General features: G+C 39.9%; 1 long non-coding RNA gene across 1 annotated transcript in view, besides 2 other annotated features; it reads right to left on the bottom strand.

Annotated features, from left to right (window-relative positions):
• The window catches only part of LOC107986441 (uncharacterized), a 62,022-nt gene that overhangs the window by 5,440 nt on the left and 34,560 nt on the right, over window positions 1-22,022 (bottom strand). The window lies entirely within an intron of this gene.
• Window positions 6,783-7,330: an enhancer, noted in NCBI's record as "NANOG hESC enhancer chr5:113018255-113018802 (GRCh37/hg19 assembly coordinates)". NCBI's record gives its function as "activates a minimal SCP1, AML or CMV promoter by ChIP-STARR-seq in primed H9 embryonic stem cells {active_cell/tissue: H9 hESC(primed)}" and the evidence as "EXISTENCE:reporter gene assay evidence [ECO:0000049][PMID:30033119]".
• Window positions 13,846-15,045: an enhancer, noted in NCBI's record as "MED14-independent group 3 enhancer chr5:113010540-113011739 (GRCh37/hg19 assembly coordinates)". NCBI's record gives its function as "activates an origin of replication core promoter dependent on BRD2, BRD4, P300/CBP and CDK7 cofactors, and independent of MED14, by STARR-seq in HCT116 cells {active_cell/tissue: HCT116}" and the evidence as "EXISTENCE:reporter gene assay evidence [ECO:0000049][PMID:35650434]".

Below are 22,022 nucleotides of genomic sequence, written 5' to 3'. Positions count from 1 at the left end.
GTATATGACTGAATGTAATGCTTTTGTTTCTTGTAAGTTGTTATAAACATAAATGCCTGGCTGGAATTAGCCCAACGTCCCTTGACCTCTACTCCCCCAACATTTTCCAGGACTTTTAGGAGTCATCTGCTGAGAGACTAGGACAGAGTGAGGATGAGGGAGAGTTGCAGAGATTTGGGACTGCTCCTCTGGGGAAGCCAATAAGGAGGGTCAGCAAAAATGACCACTGAGAGCAAACAGAGGGAATTCATAGCAAACTGATCAACATGACATCATGACATCTTCCAAGAAGAGGACAGTAAAGGACACAGCATTAAGATTCTCATGACTTTTTCCCTCTGGGAGAAGAAAGACGCAGCTAAAACAATTACAGTGAACATATTAAGTAGCATGCAAATTAAAAGGCCTACTATTCACTAGGGCATATCCTCCAAATCCATATAGATAGACACAAAGGTTAAGTTCACTCTAGGAAAGAGCCTCCTTTCTTGAAAAATCACTGAATGGAATTCCATAGTTTGGCATGCACTAGGTAAGTAGGTAGACCTTCTTGTTTGTAAATACCGACAAATAGAAGATCTGAGGATTTTTTTTCATTAACTGCTTCTCCTTTTTATTCTCACCGACAAAAGACTCTCTTTTTTGTGCAAAACAATGCTAAAAGCTCGACTCCATTATAATAACCTTTCCCAAAAGTCATAAAGCCTAAGAAATGTATTATGATATCCCTGAACCATACTCCCTTCTCCAACATCAGTATCCTCTTCCCTCGCCATTTCAAGCCTGCTTTCATAAGGAAACTGACATTAAATCTCCACTGGGTCTGTGAGCTGCGGGTAGTCAGGAAAGACATTTCATCTAAGCACACATTCTAGGACACGTAGAAATCATTAACCACAACCCACAATATGACTAAATGTAATTTATATAATGCTACTATCACAGCAAGGTATTTCTTAATTATTTGGGCATTTTAAATATTTAGCCTAACTACAGACTAAATTTGAGGAACTGTCCTGAATATTAGCAAAATGGCTTTTCTAAAACTGAAAATTTCATTAAGAGACTAGATATTTATACATGTGTAGAAACTGTTCATTTTCGATTGTGCCCCTAAAGGAACACAATATTCTTCTGTGAGATGGGTTTTAGGGTGGCATAAAGAGCAAATGAGGCCAGGTGTGGTGGCTCATGCCTGTAATCCCAGCACTTTGGGAGGCCAAGGCAGGCAGATCAACTGAGGTCAGGCGTTTTGAGACCAGCCTGACCAACATGGTGAAACCCCATCTGTACTAAAAATACAAAAATTCAGCCAGGCATGGTGGCATGTGCCTGTAATCCCAGCTACTCAGGAGGCTGAGGCAGTAGAATTGCTTGAACCCAGGAAGTGGAGGCTGCAGTGAGCTAAGATCACGCCACTACACTCCAGCCTGGGCAACAGAGCGAGACTCCATCTCAAAAAAAAAAAAAAAAAAAAATTCCCAGCACTTTGGAAGGCCGTAGTGGGCGGATCATGAGGTCAGAAGTTCGAGACCAGCCTGGCCAATACAGTGAAACCCCGTCTCTACTAAAAATACAAAAATTAACTGGGTGTTGTGGCATGTGCCTGTAGTCCCAGCTACTCGGGAGGCTCAGGCAGGGGAATTGCTTGAACCCGGGAGAAGGAGGTTGCAGTGAGCCAAGACCGCACCATTGCACTCCAGACTGGGCAACGGAATGAGACTCCGTCTCAACAAAAAAGCAAATGAAATGATGCATGTGAAGGCATTCTATAAATGGCAGAACATGATGCATACTTGAGAGATTAGCTCCCTTTCTCTCCTCCATGTTCTTCATTTCAAACTGATTCATGCTAAATGGGGAGGAAATCTGAGTCTCTCTCTCTCTCATAAATGTCTTATCATTTTCAATCACTGATACTGCTTTATGCTAAAGCTTTTTGCTTACATTTAAATTAGGTATGAAGTCCACTAACATATTTAGATTGAATTACATAAAATTGCCAATATTCAATGATTTTAACCTATAAAAATGGTCATTTCATGGTTCAATCAAATACAAAACATTTTCTTTTTATGATGCTGTAGAAATACAGACATCATAAAAATAGCTATGATTATTTGGATAGGATTTGTATTTATAGGAGATGAATAAAAGCTATGCTGCTCTGAAGACTGGGGGTCCCCCACAAGAACTTGAATGAAGGAGATAGGAATGGGGCAGCTTTTCCGACTGAGGCTGACTGGAACCTACATACCAGGAAGAAACTAGCTACATAAAGAAATCTGCAAACATTACAAATCTTACACTGTAATATGGAGACATGTTGCTTTCAGCCTGTAATAGGATGTTGAAGGACTCTTTTTCCCTTGTCTCAGAATTTCTACTAAAACCCAAAGCTGAGGATAATAGGTGCTAAGATCCTCCACATTCTAAAGAGAACTGCCAGACATATCTCTGTGGAACTTATCAGTTATGCAGCTATCACCCATTACTCCCTTCAGCCTGCATAAGCGATAGATTAGAAGTTCTAGAATTCCAATGTGTTATTGAGTTGTTGGCCTACCAATGGTTCTCAGGCTGAGTGGAGGTTGAAAACGTGGGGAGGCGTTGGGGGTGCAATTAGCATCTAATGGGCAGGATCCAGGGATGCTAAATATCCTGCAACTTAAGGGAGAGCCCTGCACAGCAAAACCTGATCTCACTCTAATTTCCATTAGCTCTCTCATTAAGAGACACTGACAAGGTGAAATCCTATGGCTTTTCTTCTTCCCTGCAGGGATGGGGCTATTTTCCTATCCCAAAGCCAAGTGTCACATGCTCAAAGAAATTAGCAGTAACTGCAAGAAGACTGGCATCCATTCGGCAGGGGGACTCTGTGTGTGGGCGAGTTTGTGAACCTGCTCCTGTGCCTGCTTTGAGCAGAGAGTAAAAGGGAATTAAGTGTGGGGTGGCGGCTGCCTGAAGAAAGGGAAGCAACATAGTAGTCCTGCCCTCCCACCCTTAGGTGCATCTCCCTGGGCCAAGTGGACACCACGGAAATTACCCAGGTTTAAGCTGGGTGGCCAGAGGGCTGCCCAGTGGACAATGAGAGAACTGTCATTAGATGCCTGCCATACAGAGCATGTGGCCAGCCAAGGAAGAAACACAGGACTTTTCTTAGGTAGGCGGCATTTGTCCCTTCCCCCATTATTCCTCCCATACCCTAGCACACTAGAGGTAAAAAAAGAAGATGCCAAAAAAGAAAAGTAGCAAGACAGGCTCCCACCAATGCAGTTCCCTCACCAAGGCAGGTTCTGTGGGTCCTAGGCCAAGCTTGGTGAGAAGAGTTCTTTCTCCATTGGACATGAGGCTGACCTTTCAAACTTATTAAATTAAGTGAGACTGGAATTTCATACCCAAAAATGTCCACAATGCAATGTGATTCATCAAAATATTGTTGAGATGGGAAATATTCGACAGTTAATGGTTGATGGCAAAAAAGAAAAACAGAGAAATGACATAAAGCTGTTTCATGTTTGTATGTCATCAAAATCTTAGTTAATAAGGAACATTCTTAGCTGATAACTTAACTACATGAAATTTTAAAAGTAATTCCTGTATGTGAATGGAAACACTTTAAAGGTAACTAAAACTACTAAAAACACTTCATAATGATAGGTATCTCCAGCGTCAATAATTACAACCAAAAAATAGATTTTAGTTCTTTTAGGTAAATAGTGAATTTACTAGAGACTATAACAAGCTCACAGTGTTCATTCATTCAATAAGTACTGATCTAGTACTATTACGTTTCAGGTATTGTTCTAGCCATTGGCACATGACAGTGAAGAAAAGATAAAAATTTCTTTCTTCCTGAGGCTCAGCTTCTAATGAGAGAATCACACAAAATCAAATCAGAAAAATACCAGAATAGTAGATCATGCTAAAGGGAAAATTAAAGCAGGGATGGGGAGAGGGAGTTACACTCATTGGGGGCTTCCCTAAATGGAAAAGGATGATGATGACACTGTCATTTTTGAGAACCCACTCTGTGGCATTAGCCCACTAAGACGCTATTGTGACTTAAGAGGTTAAATGGCTCACTCTGAACATGCCAGGTATAGCAGGAACTCAGATTCAAGTCTCAGCTGACTTCAAAGCCTGTGACCCTGGTCATAAAGACAACTCCTTCCCCTAGAGAGCAATACTGTACTTGTTTTTGTTTTCTTGCCAGTGTACATGGAGGGGGGAAGAGTGATCGTCCCCAAAGTCAGTGTCATCCATAGGCTTCCTTAAAAGCATTTTGCATCAAGACTTGAGGTCTTCACCTTCATATTAGGTGCTCCCTCCACCTTTCCTTGCATCCTGTTCTCTCTGCAAACAGCCAGCTCCTAATCAAGCCAAGTGATGACTGGCCCACTAGGTTAATGTTTTTCAAGTGTGGTCTTCAAACAGCTGTATCAGCATCATCTGGGAACTTGTTAGAAATGCAAAATTTCAGACTCACAGCCAGATCTACTGAATCAGGAACTGGGAATGGGAACAGCAATCTCAAACAAGGCTTCCCGATGATGCTGAAGGCGGCTTAATTTGAGAAACACTGCCCTGGGTCATACAAGTATTCTGGATGCTGTGCCTTCCCAGTGTGGTTCCAGACACCTGGAAGAGCCATCTTCCTGCCCATCAGGGACAGCCTGCTGACCGCCTTTCTGAATCTCCCCTCTCCTGGACACAGGAAATCTCTGCCTCAAAAAATCCTTACCTCTAAAGTCCACATCAAGCCTGTAAAACCTTAAAAGGTTAAACTAAACATTCCTACAAAAGCAACATGCATATATGTCCAGTTTTGTATTTCAACAACCAAAGATAGGATAAATACCATGATGCTTTGAATTATGAGGCCATGGAGAAAAACCATGCATATTTCTATATGGCACTATTTGGCAGTGCTTAACAAACCTTTTTAAAAGCTTATCTACTTATTAGAATAGTTGAATCCTGAGTATGTTTTTGGGTAACTACCTAATAATATGCTCTCTCTGGGTACAGAGTAGACCCACAGTACAATGAAACCCATGCAATGGTGAAATAATTAAAAACAGGGCTTTACTAAAATTTTTATAGCTTTTTATAAATGCAAATTCATACCCCTGGTAAAGCTTCACACGGTTCTTTTTTGCCAAAGAAAAATGAGACTCCTCAGTTTCCATGGATTTATGATTCTCACGGGTGTTGAGAAAAACAGTCTAGTATTCTTCCCCAATGAATTTTACTTCATAATATGACTTTTTTTCCTACTTGTTTTCTCTAAATAGCCCCCATATATCTTTTGATAGGTTAATGTCTTTATTAATAACATTTAATTTTTCATAGTATAGAAATGATATAGTCACTGTTAAAAAAAGATTAATTTCCTTAAATCAGTGTTATATTTTTCTTTAATTTTTTAATTCAGTTTTATAATTAGTTGATTTATCAAGAGAGTGGAAGTATTTTGTAGAGATGTTACAAGAAAGCAATTACGAACCCTCTCTCTCTAATCCAAAATGGTGGTCTCCAACCTTGTTTTTAAAAGATATTGAGTACCAACATTTGTTTTTAGAGACAAGGCCTCACTATGTTGTCTAGCATGGTCTCAAACTCTTGGCCTCAATCACTCCTCAGCCTTCCAGAGTGCTGGTATTACAGGCATGAGCCACTGTGCCCAGCAAAATATAGTTATTTAATATGTAGTTAATATCACACTACATAATAAATGGAGTCACATTTTTGTCCAAAGATTTCTGAGATCATTGAGTACAAAACTCTCTCCCACTTTCCCAAGGACTGAATAGAAGTGAACATGTTTCATGGATGTTACCCATGAGAAAAATCTGAGAACAGGGGAGGCAAGGGGAAGTAGAAGATTTAGTGTTTATTCATCAGTGATCCTGTCTAGCTACAAAACTCCACCTTGCTGTTCACTACTTCTATTACTGTAATTTTTCTTTGATACTAAGGTAACATCATCCTACTCCCTACATTAGCAATGAAGAGTCTAGTAACTCTAATTAGATAAGAAGAGTTCAGGCATAGGATTTCTTATAGGTAATATTTTATATTTATGATAAGAAAATATATGTACTGTATTAATATCTCATATTATTAATATATCTAAACGTGCTTTGCTAGACATAACATGTTATTATTGATTCAAAGGTAATAACTCATGAGATCACAAATATAACAATGAAACTTTAAAAAATAAAACTATTTAGCCTAATACTCAGAGAGAATAACCATAATAGATAATTCTCAAACCTTTATTTTTTAATAAACCCAGAGCTTTAGCAGCAAAGAACCTAAAGTAGACCCAATTCTGTCAGACCAGGGGGCTGGAGATTGCAGCATGTGCTGAGGGAACGAGGACATCTCAGGGAGCTGCAAAGAGACCACCTCAGCCTGAAGAACTTCATTGTCTGAGGTCATGCTGGGAGCACAAGTGATCGGCCTTTCAGTAAACATCCCAGGTCTTGAAGGAGAATACATGCTGGGAAAAGAGGGCTACTCTAAAATACAGCTTAGGGGGCAAATAGGGGACTAGGAAAGAACATAAAGGGTGCTCCATTTTCTGCTGCCTGAGTGTAACAAACAGACTCAAGGGTGACTCCCAATAATTCCCATGTCTTAGTGTTAATGCCTTTATGAAATCCACTCCCTTTGAGTATGGGTGAGACCTGTGATGGAATGTCACCCTCACAATTACGCTACACTGTATGAGACTTTATCTCAGCAGGTAGGAGAGAGATTCTCTTTCTGATCCTCAAGAAGCAAACTGCCTTCCTGGGAACGGGCTCTGGAGAGGGTCATATGGCAGGGAACTGCAGGTGGTCTCTAGAACCCAAGGGCAGTCTCTAGCTGACAGCCGGTAAGACTGGGGATCCTCAGTCATTCAACCTCAAGGAAATGAATTCTGCCGACAATCTGAATGAGTGTGGACAAAGATCCTTCACAGTTGGGCCTCCAGCTGAGAATGCAACCTGCCTGACCCCTTGCTGGCAGCCACAGGGCCTGGCCAGCTAATCCATGCTGTGCCATCTCCTCACCCGTGATAATTATGAGGTGAGAAATGTGTGTTGTTTTCAGCCACTAAGTTATGGTAATTTCAGCATAGAGAACCAATACACTAAGTCAACATGGAATCCTTTTTACTTTGGATCAAACTTTGGTGTGAGCTCCCTCTCTCATTTATTTGTAGTAATTACAACGATCAGTACAAGACGCATGGTACTTAATCTGTGTGAGCTGTTCTTCACTTCAGAGAAGACTGAAGTTTTAAATTAATGCCTTGTGATACTTTCTAATTCTTTCACAGAACGTTGGCCCCTACTGGATGACAACTAAAGGAACTTAGTAAGTAGAGTTATGCATCTTTTAATGACTAGGATACGTTCTGAGATTTTTGTCACTGTGCAAACATCATAGAGTGGTCCACTTACACACACCTTGACAGTAGAGCTCACTACACACCTAGGCTATGTGGTAGAGCCTATTGCTCCTAGGATACAAACCTGTGCAGCATGTTACTGTACTGAATACTGTAGGCGATTGTATAACAATGGTAAGTATTTGTATATGTAAACATAGAAAATGTAAATAAATATATGATACAAAAGATTAAAAAATGGCACACCTTTGTAGGGCTCTTACCATGAATGGAATGTGCAAGACTGATAGTTGCTCTGGGTGAGTGATTGGGTGAGTGGGGAGTGAATGTGAAGGCATAGGACATTACTGTATACTACTGCAGACTCTATAAACACTAAGGCTACACTAAATTTATTTTTAAAACATTTTTCATGGCCGGCGCGGTGACTCACACCTGTAATCCTAGCACTTTGGGAGGCTGAGGTAGGCAGATTGCCTGAACTCAGGAGTTTGAGACCAGACTGGGCAACATGGTGAAACCCCATCTCTACAAAAATACAAAAAACTCAGCTGGGCATGGTGGCGTGCGCCTGTGGTCCCAGCTACTCAGGAGACTGAGGCATGAGAATTGCTTGAAACCAGGACGCCAAGGTTGCAGTGAGCCAAGATGGTGCCACTGCTCTCCAGCCTGGGCGACAAAGTGAAACTCTGTCTCAAAAAATATATATATATATATTATTTCTTCAATGATAAATCAACCTTAGCTTACTATTACTTTTTTACTTTAAAAGCATTTTAATTTGTCTAAACTATATGATTCTTTTGTAATAACACATCTTAAAACACAAACACATATAATGCTATACAAAAATTTTTTTTGTCTTTATAAGATTTTTCTATTAAATTTTTTTTAACTTTTTAAGCTTTTTTTGTTAGATACTAAAACACAAACACACACATTAGCCTAGGCCTACACAGGTCAGGATCATCAAGGCATCAATAGGTGAGGAATTTTTCAACTCCAATATAATCTTTTGAGACAAACATCATATATGAGGTCTGTCATTAACCAAAATATCATTATGTGGCACATGACTATATAGCTCTAGGTACATATTGGCTTATGTAAAAGAATGAGAAACTAGGAAAAGTAAGAATACAATCTTTGATGTACTCATTCTCTCATTCTATAAAGCAAAAACATAGGATTTATTTAAGCAATAACAACAACCACAAAAATGTCTCAGTTAACTATTTTTCCAGTATATGAATTACAAAACATCTCAGAGCTCCTAAGATATTTTATTCTGTATAATTTTTATATACATTTTTGTAAAATAAATAGATACAAAACATGTATTTACCAGGCTTGAGATGCCACTGAGAACTTTTCATTCATTCAACAAATATTTACTAAGAGCTCTATGTGTCAGGCACTATTCTAAACACTTTTTAAATGTACTAGTCTATTTAAAAAAAAAGCAAAGAACCTTTTCCACGTGACATAGTTTAGTGAGAGGAACAAACAATAAACAACAAAAATAATAAATAAAATAAATAAATAAATAAATGATGTAGTATATTAAAAGTGAGATGGATGATGGACAAAAGGGGAAATAGAGAAAGGAAGAGGCAGCTGAGCTCTGGGGAGGGTGGGCAGGGCAGGATGAATGAGGGTGGTAAGTGGAGGCCCCCAGGAGTAGGTGAGATTAGAGCAGAGACTTACTGCAAGTGATGAATTGAGTCAACCAGTTATCTGAGGGAAGCACATTCCAGAAGAAGGACAGCGAGAGCCAAGTCTCTGAGGCAGGAACGTGTCTACTCCTCAAAGGACATCAAGAAACAGTGTTAGCCCAGAAGTTCAAACTTTCTAACTTCCTGGCACCCTCAGTGTCTCAGTAATTTTTTAACCACCAAAAAAAAAAAAACTACATAGCCATTCCTTTCATTAGGTAGTTAAATCCAAAAATGTTAAGTATGTATGTCCTAATAATTAAGTAGCTATTTGAAAATAATAATACAAATTGAAAAAAATACCTTTCATTTCAGTCTTAAATAACCACAATTACTTACAAATGGGGCATGTGTGTCCCTTAGGCCCTGCACAGCCTCTCCATCATTGGAATGAGACTGGACACTGCCATCCTTGTTAACTATTCCTGTTCATTTTTGCATACTACTTGCTTTTTATCCCATCAACCTCCAAAAACCTAGCTTTGCAAAAATATGATGTCACCTAGGACTGTAGGAATGTAGTGTAATTTAGTATGAAAACTCTAAAGTCATTTGCTTGGTTTCTGGTAGACGCTGCTCCATTTCCTTCAAAAACTCAAAATATCCTGGGGCCTCTCTGTGAGTTGGCTGCAGCACCTTGGGGTGTCCCAGCACGTAGTTTGGAAACAGCAGGGTTAGTTTATACCTTAGCCTCTTTCATTTTCTTGGATCAAGCTATTTCTATTCTCTTTAGTAGCTTCTCCGGCTGCCTTTCTACAATTTCTCCTTCCCAATTTTCTTTTTGAGTAGCCGCAGACTGTCTTAATCAAATATGACTTAAAGTATGTAGAGATACAGAGATACATAAGCATGTATATCATTATAGTAACGCCACCATTCAGAGGCCTATATCCTGGTGAAGGACTCATTTCCTTCCCTCTCAGCTTCTGTAAGGGAGTTAATCGCCTTTGAAGGTTTTCAACACCAAACAGATAGAAACATGCATTAACACACTAAAACACCATGTCACCTCACATCTATAAAAGATGGGAGGCTGGGAGGAATATTCTCTGTCCCCACAAAGATAATTCTAGTCACAGTGGAAGCCAGTGCTCTCCTCTGCTAAAATTTGCTTGTATACAGTACTTTAAGGCTTAGCTGTTCAATTATTTTCAAAATCATTGACCATTTGAATCATTACAAACTGTTTTTAGAGGGAAAAGGAACATAACATTTTAGCCCATTAGGGGAATTTCAAAGGACTAGAAAGCATGTTCTCATTGTGAGAATCAATTACGCACCTTCATTTCTTCACATCTCAAGTCACCTTCCGACGGCTCATGTGACACAGTTAGCGGCAGGAGGAGTGCTGTCAGAGCTCATTACCAATGCCACACACTGTGAAACAGAGCAGGAGGCAGCCTGACATTCTCTCCTTCAAAGTGAGAATTAAAGCAAATTGAATTTGCTTATGCTGAGATAAAATAATACAGTAAGTCCCTGTACCCCCTCCAAAATAAAAAGGTCATGATTTCTTATAAAGTATAATGAGGGGGGAAATGACTTAAATTAAACCTCTGCTTATCTGCATTGTTGGCTAATTACAACATTAGAGATTCACCCCACCACCACCACCACCCTGGCAGTCTTCACGGTAACATAGCGCCATCTAGTGCTGATATCATGTTAGGGGAATTCAAAAGCACACGTGTAAAGGGCACCTAAAAAGCAATGGTAAAATAAAATAAAATAAAGTAAAATAAAATAAACAAATATTTACTGAGTACCCACTATATAAATACCATATGCCTGCTTTTTTTTTCCTTCACAATTCTGGGAATTGTGTAAAGCTTTCATAAGCAGGAATTGCTCTGACTTTTGTGGAAATTATTTACATGATAGTGAGGGGGGAAGAAAGAGATCCTCTGTTGGAAGTTGTGTCAGCGATTTCATCAACATTAAATATGAGCGTAGAGGTGGCCATCAGGCTTCTCAGCTTGAGCAGAGCCATGATTACATTTACTGCACCTCTTCCCAGAAAAATATGGGGCTACTTAGCATTTATATTGCACTTTTCGTCTCCAAACCACTTTGCAGAACCTCTGAATAATTCCCCCAACGCCCTTCAAAGTAGTTATTACTCCATACTATCAGCCTCTTTATGAAAGCTTTTGATGGCTGTTTTCACTGCGTGTGAGTGAACTGCATTTACCAAAGAGAATTTCTCCAAAGACTCATGTCCAGAGTCAAAGAACAATTACTATCTAAAACCTTAATATTCCCCCTTTTTACAGAGCAAAAAAAGGCTTATAATTAATTTACATAGTGAACACATTACCTCTTTCCTATTCAAAGATAAGAATGTCAGGATAAAGGAAAGCATTGCATCATCAATATGAAATGCTTCCCTATTTTTCCACCAGTGCTACCACACCTAAAATAATAGCATTGTTGTGTCCTCAAAATATTAAGAAAACCCAGGAGACAATTGAGATGGGCAGACTGCTAAAAGAGGATGACCTTATAAATTAGGACCCTGTGATATATTAAGGATCTGACTTTTTTATTTAAAAGGTAAGTGTCTGTCACTCCTAACTTAATCACCTTTTATAAACCAGTTATTCCTTACAGTATTTGGATTAGTGGTGTAATTTAAAACCAAAAATAAAAAGGTACAGAAGTTGTCATTTTAATGAGTAATATTCACATTTTTCTATATATAATTCATGTTTAAACTTCTTAACTGGGCTTGTACCTTTTGTAAAAGAAAACAGAAAAAAATTTTTGTAATCACAAAGCATTTTTACTGTGTGACTCCCATAAACTATGGGATAAAATATGTGTGTTTCAAGAAAAAGGACCTGCATTAAGATGCATCCCAGAGAGAAAGAGAACAGAGTAAGGCAGAAAAGTTAAGAAGTCAGATCCTAAGCAAAGTGTAATGTCAACAGTGGGAGAGGCCAAGACACATCAACATAGTCAATGAGGGGCCAGGCTCCCTCGCAAACATTCTTTCTCTGCTTTCATCTTTATGTATCTTCACCCCAGAGATTACCAGCCCAAGAAACACATATGATAGGCATTTCACAATGCACATGTTATGACTTAAAAACATTTCACATTAGAAATAATCATTCAATATTTTCAGCTTTAAAAAAATGATTGTTCCATGGTATGTGGGAAGCAGTAAGTTAGAATTAATGTATCACATGCCATTTCCAAAATCCCTTCTGCAGACCTAGGAGGATGCTTTTGGTGATGTCTCAATGCCAGCTTTTTAAAAACAATCTCTAGTTATAGTCACTTTATGTAAGGGGATTCATCATCATTCTGTTACCTAATGTATTTTCATATATTTTAGGATTTAGGAAAAGAAGATAGTGTGAACTGAAGTAAAAACTCTAATAAGCATATTCATTAGGCCAGATTATTTTAGGGAAATACAGAAATCTCCCAACTATTCCCTAACAGGAAACCTTATAATTTCCATTAACAGGAGTTCGGGAGGTGGAGGTGGGGTTCTTGTTCCAGGAGTGGTGTGTGTCCTTTTTGGAAGAGTTGGGACGTTCAGATGAGCAAAGAGGGAAAGGAAGGTATATTCCTGGTCTGTAAAGCACAGGAAGCTGCTGACACCAACAAAGGTTTAAAGGCACCCCATTGCCTATGAAATGAAGCCTAAACCTCTCAGCTGGTGAAGGACAGATAACTCATTTTTCACACTGCATTCTGATGAGACCAGAAAGCTTTGTTTCTTCTGTCTGTAAGACTGACCCGAGTTTCCTCACCAAACTCCCACCTAGCTAAGTAGCATGGGTAATTTAGAGTTACAATTAGCGATATTTTAATCTCATCTCTTTTAAACAGTCAGTTTGGATGATGAAGTTTAAATAGTGTATTCAAAGTCAACTTAGTATCATGCCTAGTTTGCATGATCTCTTTTGGATGAATCAGACCCTTCGCCAAATGTTCGGTCTTTCTGATTTTGCACCCTCACTTCCAACTCCACCATGACAGCCACTATATATGTTACAGGGATTTACTGTGCCCTCCTACCAGCAGCAGGAAGGGGCCCTCAGACCATCATGGCCTCCTCTGGCCATTGATTCTTGCTGCAGAATGGCTGGATTGACTGACTCTGAGGTGCAACCAGCCACGTCTGACTGTGTTGGGAGTGATGTGAGAACAACCACTTCAGGCCCCAGTCATTTGTTCCCAGTCCAGAGGGCCCCACCCACAGTATTTCCTATGTGCTCCCTCCAGGCCTTAATGAGACCCCATCACGGTTAACAATTCCATGCCCGCTCCCTGGCACAAATGGGAATTTCAGCATCCCTCGCTCACGGGGAACCAGAGGGACTGCTATAGGCCTGTCTGTCCAGCTCTTCCTATCAATGCTGCTGAGCCATCATTTGTATTTTTCCTGTTAGTAGGGGCTACATGAAAGGCTGCTTCTTAAATCTTGCAGTGTCCTCTAGTGTAACTGAGAAGTTTACTATTAGTCCTAGTCATCTCATTCTCTGATATACTTGTCTGGATAGTTCTAATTAATCCTTGATGCTTGATTTACTTAGCCTCCCTTCTTAAGCTCTGTAAAGGGAGTAGAGTGTTCTTTGTCAATACTTCTCACCCATTTTCATAACAAACATAAAAATTTGATAATATTTGTACTGCACACTGGGATAAACTGAAGGGGATCTGGGCACAACTATCCATGGCTTGCTGAAAAAAATTATTACATTATTTTTCTAACATATAATAAATAAAAACCCAAGTACTAGAAAAGTAACTAAATTTTGAATATTTATAAAACACGTAAATAAGGTATCTTCCAATCTTTTAAGAGAAACTTGAGCTTGATTCTATGCACATAAATATTACATCAGCTTTTATCCATAAAAATAGGCACAAACAATTCCTGTTCAAGTTTTTAATGACAAGCTCTTCAAACTCTAGACAGTCTACATTGATGAGAAACTTTATTCTCACAAGTGAGTGATAGGTTTAAAACCATTTTTTACACCAGATATTTTACAGCCATTTAAAATTTTGGAAATAACTATCATAAATATTTGAATTTTGAACATTGTAAATTCAAAAATTGACAATAGTTAAAATTACATTTAAAAGACCAGTTCTTCCTTTTTTTTTTTTCCATTGACAAATGAAACATTGAAATTTTTGGTGATAATACAAAGGCACTTCGAGTGCAATCACACTTTTTTCTACATCAAGTATTCAAACTAGTGGTGAAGTTAATTTGCAGAACCACGTGCATTGTTAGAGCAGTCACTCTGGGAAAGGAGAAAGGGAAAAACTGAGTCAGGCAGGCAGTTAGTGTGGGTCCTCAGTTGAATCCTTTCAAACAAAAAAACAGCCTGCAAGCACAGATAAGGGAACTTGCACAGAAGGGCATCCCTAAGACATGCCCATAGGCATACAAATAAGAAAGGCTACACAGGTGACTTGCCCGGACATGCCCACAATGAAAAATTCTGTCCCCTGACACATGTGCAGTAAGGGGAACAAAGCAATATGGAGTAACTCAAGCTAAGGGCCCGCATGTGCATTAGGAAGACAGGGTGAAACTACAAGAAATTCATGCTTTATGTAAATGAGAGACCCAGCCCTCATCAGTTTCCTATAAAAGCCTTTGCATTCAACTGTAAAAATAGCAAACTTCTTACGGGTCCCTTCTCCACAGCAAAGAGCTTTCTTCTTTGGCTTATTAAACTTTCACTCCAACCTCAACCTTTGTGTCCACACTCCTTAATTCTCTTGGTTGTGAGACAAATCATTCCAGGTGATACCTCACAACAAGAGAATGCTACATTGTGGTGCATTGGTGAGACTCTGCCACTGGTTTGGGTACCATAAAAGGGATCATCTGCTGCACATGGACAAAAGTGTCTGATATATGGAAAAACAGCCCCAACTGGGTCAATCAGGAGTACCCACGAGGCCACTCACCTCTGAACACTGACCATAGGTTCTCAAGCTGCACCCCATGCTTCTGTGCACCTGGAAGATGAGCCCTTCCCCCATCTCCAGCAGCATCAGAGTCCAAGTGTCTACAATGGGTAACAACACACCCCACCTACCAGCTGGCTCCTGAAGTCAATACTGGGTGTATAGCATCTCCTAGGCCATGCCCAGGAAGAGTGCTTGATTCCATTGTGCTCAAGCCCCAGACAAAATTGTTCATGTCCAGAGGCTCCCAGCCAGGGACCATAGCTACCAGCCAAAAGGTATGGCCACCTTGGGTCATGTTAGGCTTTCCTGAAGACCAAGGGTCAAGAGAAGCTTCTAGCTCACTGGTTGTACCCAGATTGAAAAGATCTGTACTGTCTTATTCTTGATTCCTGTAATCCTGTAATCGCCTAATGGGTTCTTCCTGCCCACTGCACAGACAATACCAATTCATTGAGACTATGGAATTGCAGTAAAGAAAATGTTTTAATTGACATGAGGCCAGCCACACAACATGGGAGATGGAGATGGAGTTAATACTCAAATCAATCTCCCCAAAAATTCAGAGGCTAGGGTTTTTCAAGGATAGTTTGGTAAACAGGGGGATAGGTGAATGGGTACTGCTGATTGGTTGTGGATGCAATCGTAGGTGTGTGGAAAATTGTCCTCATGTGCTAAGTCTGCTTCTGGGTCGGGGCCACAGGAGCAGTTGAGCCAAAAATCACAGGTCTGGGTGGGGCCATCTGGTCATCAAAAATGCAAAAGCCTGAAAGGACATCTCAAAAGGCCAGTCTTAGATTCTACAATAGTGATGTCATCTGCAGAAGGAATTGCGGAAATTGCAAATCTTGCGACTGCCAGAATAATGTCTGGTAATCATTCATGCCTAGATCTTAGCAGAATTCAGGCTCCTCTCATCTTCCTAACTTCGTAGTGTTTCATTAGTTTTACAAAGGCAGTTTAGTTTTGGGGAAGGACTATTATTATTTAAACCATAAACTAATTTTTTCCCAAAGTTAGCTTGGCCCAAGCCCAGGAGTGACCAAAAGCAATTTGGAGGTTAAAGGCAAGATGTAGGTTGGTTAGATTATGTCTCTTTCACTGTCATAATTTTCTCATTGTTATGATCTTGCAAAGAGAGTTTCATTCCTACTTGGGCATCAAGACTCCAGGCTTACACAACAAAAGGAAGAGGGGAATCTTTTAAACACTGTGGTAGAATCCTACAATCTGAGGCCTCAGGGCTCTATTCTTTGCCTATTAATGGAATTCAGAAAGTTCTCCTTTTAAGATAAAATTTGGCTTCCAAGGCTTATTTTCTTGCTGCTGAGTCCATTTTGAATGTCACAAGCTAAATAATGGCACTTGCTTTTCCTTTGCATTCTAACTTTAAGAATCCTAATGTCTCGGTTTTCTAGGAAGTTGTGTGCCTTGACTATGGAGAAGGTCAGTTACATGGAAAAAAACAAAGAGAAATGCTTGTTACTAAATTTCAATACATTGACCCTGGTGCATGGGCACTCAGTGCCCTCTAAGAGGCAGGCTTAACCTAACTCTCCTGCCTCATCTCTCCTCACTCTCCTCTTCTTCACCTAGGAATTTTGCCAACCCAGGCAATGCAGAATTCCTGGCACAGAAACTGTGCAGCTCCCTTTCCTCGTGCTATTTATTCTGCCTAGAAGGCCCTTCCCTTCCTGTCTTCATCCATTTTAAAAAATCGACCCATTTTCTTCTAAATCTATCTTCTTCTGAGCCACTCATCACATCTGCTCCACAATAAACTTTATGTACATCTTTCTTCTCTGATTTCTGACAGCACTCACTCATCTCTTTTGTACTTCTCCTGCTTTGCCTTGTGCCAAAGTAACTTGTGCAGGTTTTCACCCCTCATACTGGCTCCTGAGCTCCTTGAGAACAAGAATAATATTCTGTTTTACTTTGGTTTCTATACAACACTTGTAGACTCAAGTTTGAAATGATGAAGATAGCAGTGTTAATTAGGTTAGGTTTGGCCACATATAAAGAAGAAATAATAGTAGCTTAAACACAAAGGATGTATTCTGTGACAAAAAAAAAAAGAAGCAGCAGCCCAGGGATAGGGTTGTTTGGGGTCAAGAAGTCCAGGGCAAGGACTTTTGCTACATGAAGTTATCAGATCCCCAGACTCAGTTCTGCCCTGCCTTCCTCAGAATCTGACTTTCATCCTCAAGAATACCTTGAGGCTTCTCCACTTGTCATATATGAATTATAGGCAGCAGGCAGCAGGCAGGAGAAAATAGGAGAAAGAGCAGAAAGAACACACCAGATCTCCAAAAATAAAATATTAAAAAAAAAAAAAAAAAAAGGAAACAAGCCGCTCACTACCGTAGGGGAGAAAGCATAATTTCTTTTCTTTCCCTTTTTTGGTTCTTACTTGAGACATTCTCCTGAAAACAAAAGTCAAATAAACAAAAGAAAAACAAGCAGAAGTTTATTAACTCCTGCTGTACCCATCAGTGGGAGAGGCCTTTGTTCAAAAGTATTTCTCTCAAGGCAGTGGCTTAGGGGCTTTGCTTACATAGCATTTTAACAAACAGCCATAAATCCTACATAGTGATAAGAAAAAGGGGAGAGCAGTTACAGTCTTTTAAAAGGTGGGAAAACATGGGAAGACAGTAAAATCTATTCCTTGGGTCCTCTGGTGCTTGCTGGTGCCTTCTCTGGGCTGAAAAGCAGGTGCTGTCTCCAGTAAGGAAGGATTTACCTCCACTGTCAGGCAAATACAGGCTGAGGCAGAATGTTCCCCTGTGTTTTCAGTGTTTTTAACTTAACAATCCTCAATATTTTAGGGAGAAATGTTTTGTTTTACTACAATACACACACACACACACACACACACACACACACACACACAGTCACACCATACCTGACAGAGAATCATAAATTGGCGCCATTGTCTCAAGGGTGAAGGGACAGAAGGGGAACTGTCAGAGGCAGCCTAGAGAACAAAGGATTCAAATTATTGGCTTTAGTACTTCTAAGGTCAGATATAAAACAAATAGCAGACCACTTGCAGCAAGCATTCTTCACCCACACAGGAGGATTTCTGAGCTGCATGAGGAGTCAGAAAGACAAGAGAACCAGAGCCTGGGTAGTGCCCCTGGCAACTTTGCCCCTGGCCTCTCTCGGCAGAAGGAAGCCACTGCAAGTGTGGGATGTGGGCACAGAGGAAATCTGAACTGTGCTTCTTATGTAAGGTCCCAGAGTTCACCCACACCCCGCAGTGGCAGAGCACATATAGTGACCAAGAAAGAGAAGCTTTAGACAACCTCACTGAGTGCTCATGACCCCAATGTCACTTGGAAGAGCATCAAAAACTTTCTTTAACCTGACTGTACCTACAGCGACTCGGTATAACAGAAAAAGCCCAAAGACCTGAAGAAGACTCAATATCAGTCAAATCAAGAACAGAGAATATTCTTCTAGGACTTGCATCTGAATCCATTTGGGAAAGCCCATGTTTCATGGATGCTGGCAAGGATAAAAGCCAATAACTGAGTCTAGCAGGAATGAGCAGGTATGACTGACAGAAGCAGATGCCAATAGGGACCAATGACAACCAAGGATAAGATGTCCCTTCTTCATGGGTGCTGGGAGATTCCTCAGAATTTATTTAGTTAGTTTATTTGTTTGTTTGTTTTTTGAGGCAGGGTCTTGCTCTGTCGCCCAGGCTGTAGTGCAATGGTGCGATCACAGCTCATTGCAGCCTTGACCTCCCAAGCTCAAGCAATCCTCCCACCTCAGCCTCCCAATTAGCTGGGACTACAGGTACACTCCACCATACCTGGCTCCTTTTTTTTTTTTTTTTTTTTTTTGAGACAGAGTCTCGCTCTGTCACCCAGGCTGGAGTGCAGTGGCGCCATCTTGGCTCACTACAAGCTCCGCCTCCCAGGTTCACGCCATTCTTTTGCCTCAGCTTCCCGAGTAGCTGGGACTACAGGCGCCCGCCACCATGCCCAGGTAATTTTTTTGTATTTTTAGTAGAGATGGGGTTTCACTGTGTTAACCAGGATGGTCTTGATCTCTTGACCTTGTGATCCACCCGCCTTGGCCTCCCAAAGAGCTGGGATTACAGGCGTGAGCCACCACGCCCAGCCCTGGCTACTTTCTTATTTTTATGTAGAGATAGGGCCTCGCTATATTTTCCAGACTAGTCTTGAACTCCTGGTCTTGAGCAATCCTCCAGATTTGGCTTCCCAAAGAGTTGGGATTACAGGTGTGAGCCACTGCACCTGGCCAATTCCTCAGAATTTATATGAAACCTCCTTGGAAAAAAAAAAAAAAAAAGTGGGGCAAATCAGAATTAACTGAATGGAGCCCAAGTATTAAATTCAGTTTTAAAAAATAAAGTTATAATGTTTCAAATATAGGATCTTTAAAAACCATACCCATATCATCAACAATGAAAGTAACTGACCAGTTCTTCCGAGAAAGAGGATAATAAGGTAATGGTGTGGCTAAACTGGGAAGTCTTCAAAAAGAGCTGTTAGATCTGGGTTATGAGAAGTAAGCATTTACTCTGCTGTCAAGTGGGGGTCACAGGAAGACATTCCTGGCAGAGGGCCCTTGTACACAGAAATAGTGGCATCTCAAAAGTAAAAGAGCCCTCTAAGAGAAAGAATGTGGCCGACTTAGATAATACCCACCCTTCTCTTTTGTGGGTTTTCTCTATTCACACTTCAGATTGGTTTGTGTTACATCATTGTTATTTTCTTTTAATTTTTAATTTTTATTTGTATTTACATAGTTTTGGGAAAACAAGTGGTGTTTGTTTACATGGATAAGTTCTTCAGTGGTGATTTCTGAGATTTTTGTGCACCCATCACCCAAGCAGTGTACACTGTACCCAATGTGCAGTCTTTTATCCCTCACTCACCTCCCACCCTTTCCCCTCGAGTCCCCAAAGTCCATTATATTATGTTTATGGCTTGGCATTCTCATAGCTTAACTATCGCTTATAAGTGAGAACATAAGCTGTTTAGTTTTCCATTCCTGAGTTACTTCACTTAGAATAATGGTCTCCAACTCCATCCAGGTTGGCGTGTATGACATTACTTCATTCCTTTTTATGGCTGAGTAGTATTCCATGGTGCGTGTGTGTGTGTGTGTGTGTGTGTGTGTGTGTGTGTACATTTCCTTTATCTACTTTTTAGTTGATGGACATTTAGGCTGGTTCCATATTTTTGCAATTGCAAATTGTGCTGCTATAAATATGCACATGCAAATGTCATTTTCATAGAATGGCTTCTTTTCCTCTGGGTAGATGCCCAGCAGTGGGATTGCTGGATCAAATGATAGTTCTACTTTTAGTTCTTTGAGGAATCTCTATACCATTTTCTATAGTGGTTGTACTAGTTTACATTCCCACCAGCAGTGTAAATGTGTTCCCTTTTCACTACATCCACAGCAACATTTGTTATTTTAGATGATTAAATTGTGGCCATTCTTGCCAGAGAGGTTGTTATCCCATGGTTTTGATGGGCATTTCCATAAAAATTAGTGATATTGAGCATTTTTTCATGTTTCCTGGCCTTTTGTATATCTTCTTTTGAGAACTGCCTATTCGTGTCCTTTGCCCCTTTTTGATGGGATTATTTGTTTTTTCTTGCTGATTGAGTTCCTTGTAGATTCTGGATATTAGTCCTTTGTTGGATGCACAGTTTATGAAGATTTTCTCCCATTCTGTGGGTTGTCTGTTTACTCTGCTGATTATTTCTTTTCCTGTGCAGAAGGTTTTTAGTTTAATTAGGTCCCATCTATTTATCTTTGTTTTTGTCACATTTGCTTTGGGTTCTTGGTCATAAACTCTTTGCCTAAGCCAATATCTAGAAGAGTTTTTCTAATGTCATTTTCTACACTTTTTATGGTTTCAGGTTTTAGATTTACCTTTTTTATCCATCTTGAGTTGATTTTTATATAATGTGAGAGATGAGAATCCAGCTTCATTCTTTTACATGTGGCTTGCCAATTATCCCAGCACCATTTGTTGAATAGGGTGTCCTTTCCCCAGTTTATGTTATTGTTTGCTTTGTCAAGGATCAGCTGGCTATAAGTGTATGGCTTTATTTCTGGGTTCTCCATTCTGTTCCATTGGTCTATGTCCCTATTTTTATACCAGTACCATGCTGTTTTGGTAACTATAGCCTTGTAGTACAGTTTGAAGTTAGTTAATGTGATGCCTCCAGACTTGTTCTTTTTGCTTAGTCTTGCTTTGGCCATGCAGGCTTTTTTCTAGTTCCGTATGAATTTTAGGATTTTTTTCCTAGTTCTGTGAAGAATGATGATGGTATTTTGATGGGAATTGCAATGAATTTGTACATTGCTTTTGGCAGTATAGCTATTTTCACAATATTGATTCTACCTATCCATAAGCATGTGATGTGTTTCCAATTGTTTGTGTTGTCTGTGATTTCTTTCAGCACTGGTTCATAAATTTTCCTTGTAGAGATCTTTCACCTCCTTAGTTAAGTATATTTCTCAGTATTTTATCTTTTGCAGCTATTGTAAAAGAGGTTGAGTTCTTGATTTGAATCTCAGCCTTGTCGCTGTTGGTGCATAGCAGTGCTACTGATTTGTGTACATTGATTTTGTATCCTGAAACTTCACTGAATTCATTTATCAAATCTAGGAGCGTTTTTGGACAAGTCTTTAGGGTCTTCTAGGTATACAATCACATCATCAGCAAACAGCAACAGTTTGACTTCCTCTTCCTCTTTACCAATTTGGATACCCTTTATTTCTATCTCTTGTCTGATTGTTCTGGCTAGGACTTCCAGTACTATGTTGAATAGAAGTGGTGAAAGTGGGCATCCTTGTCTTGTTCCAGTTCTCAGGGTGAATGCTTTCAACTTTTCCCCATTCAGTATAATGTTGGCTGTGGGTTTGTCATAGATGGCTTTTATTACCTTGAGGTA

Source organism: Homo sapiens, chromosome 5 (assembly GCF_000001405.40).
Source record: "Homo sapiens chromosome 5, GRCh38.p14 Primary Assembly".
Classification (NCBI taxonomy): domain Eukaryota; kingdom Metazoa; phylum Chordata; class Mammalia; order Primates; family Hominidae; genus Homo; species Homo sapiens.
Note: the sequence above shows the minus strand (reverse complement) of the source record. Positions and strands in the feature narration are given on the sequence as shown.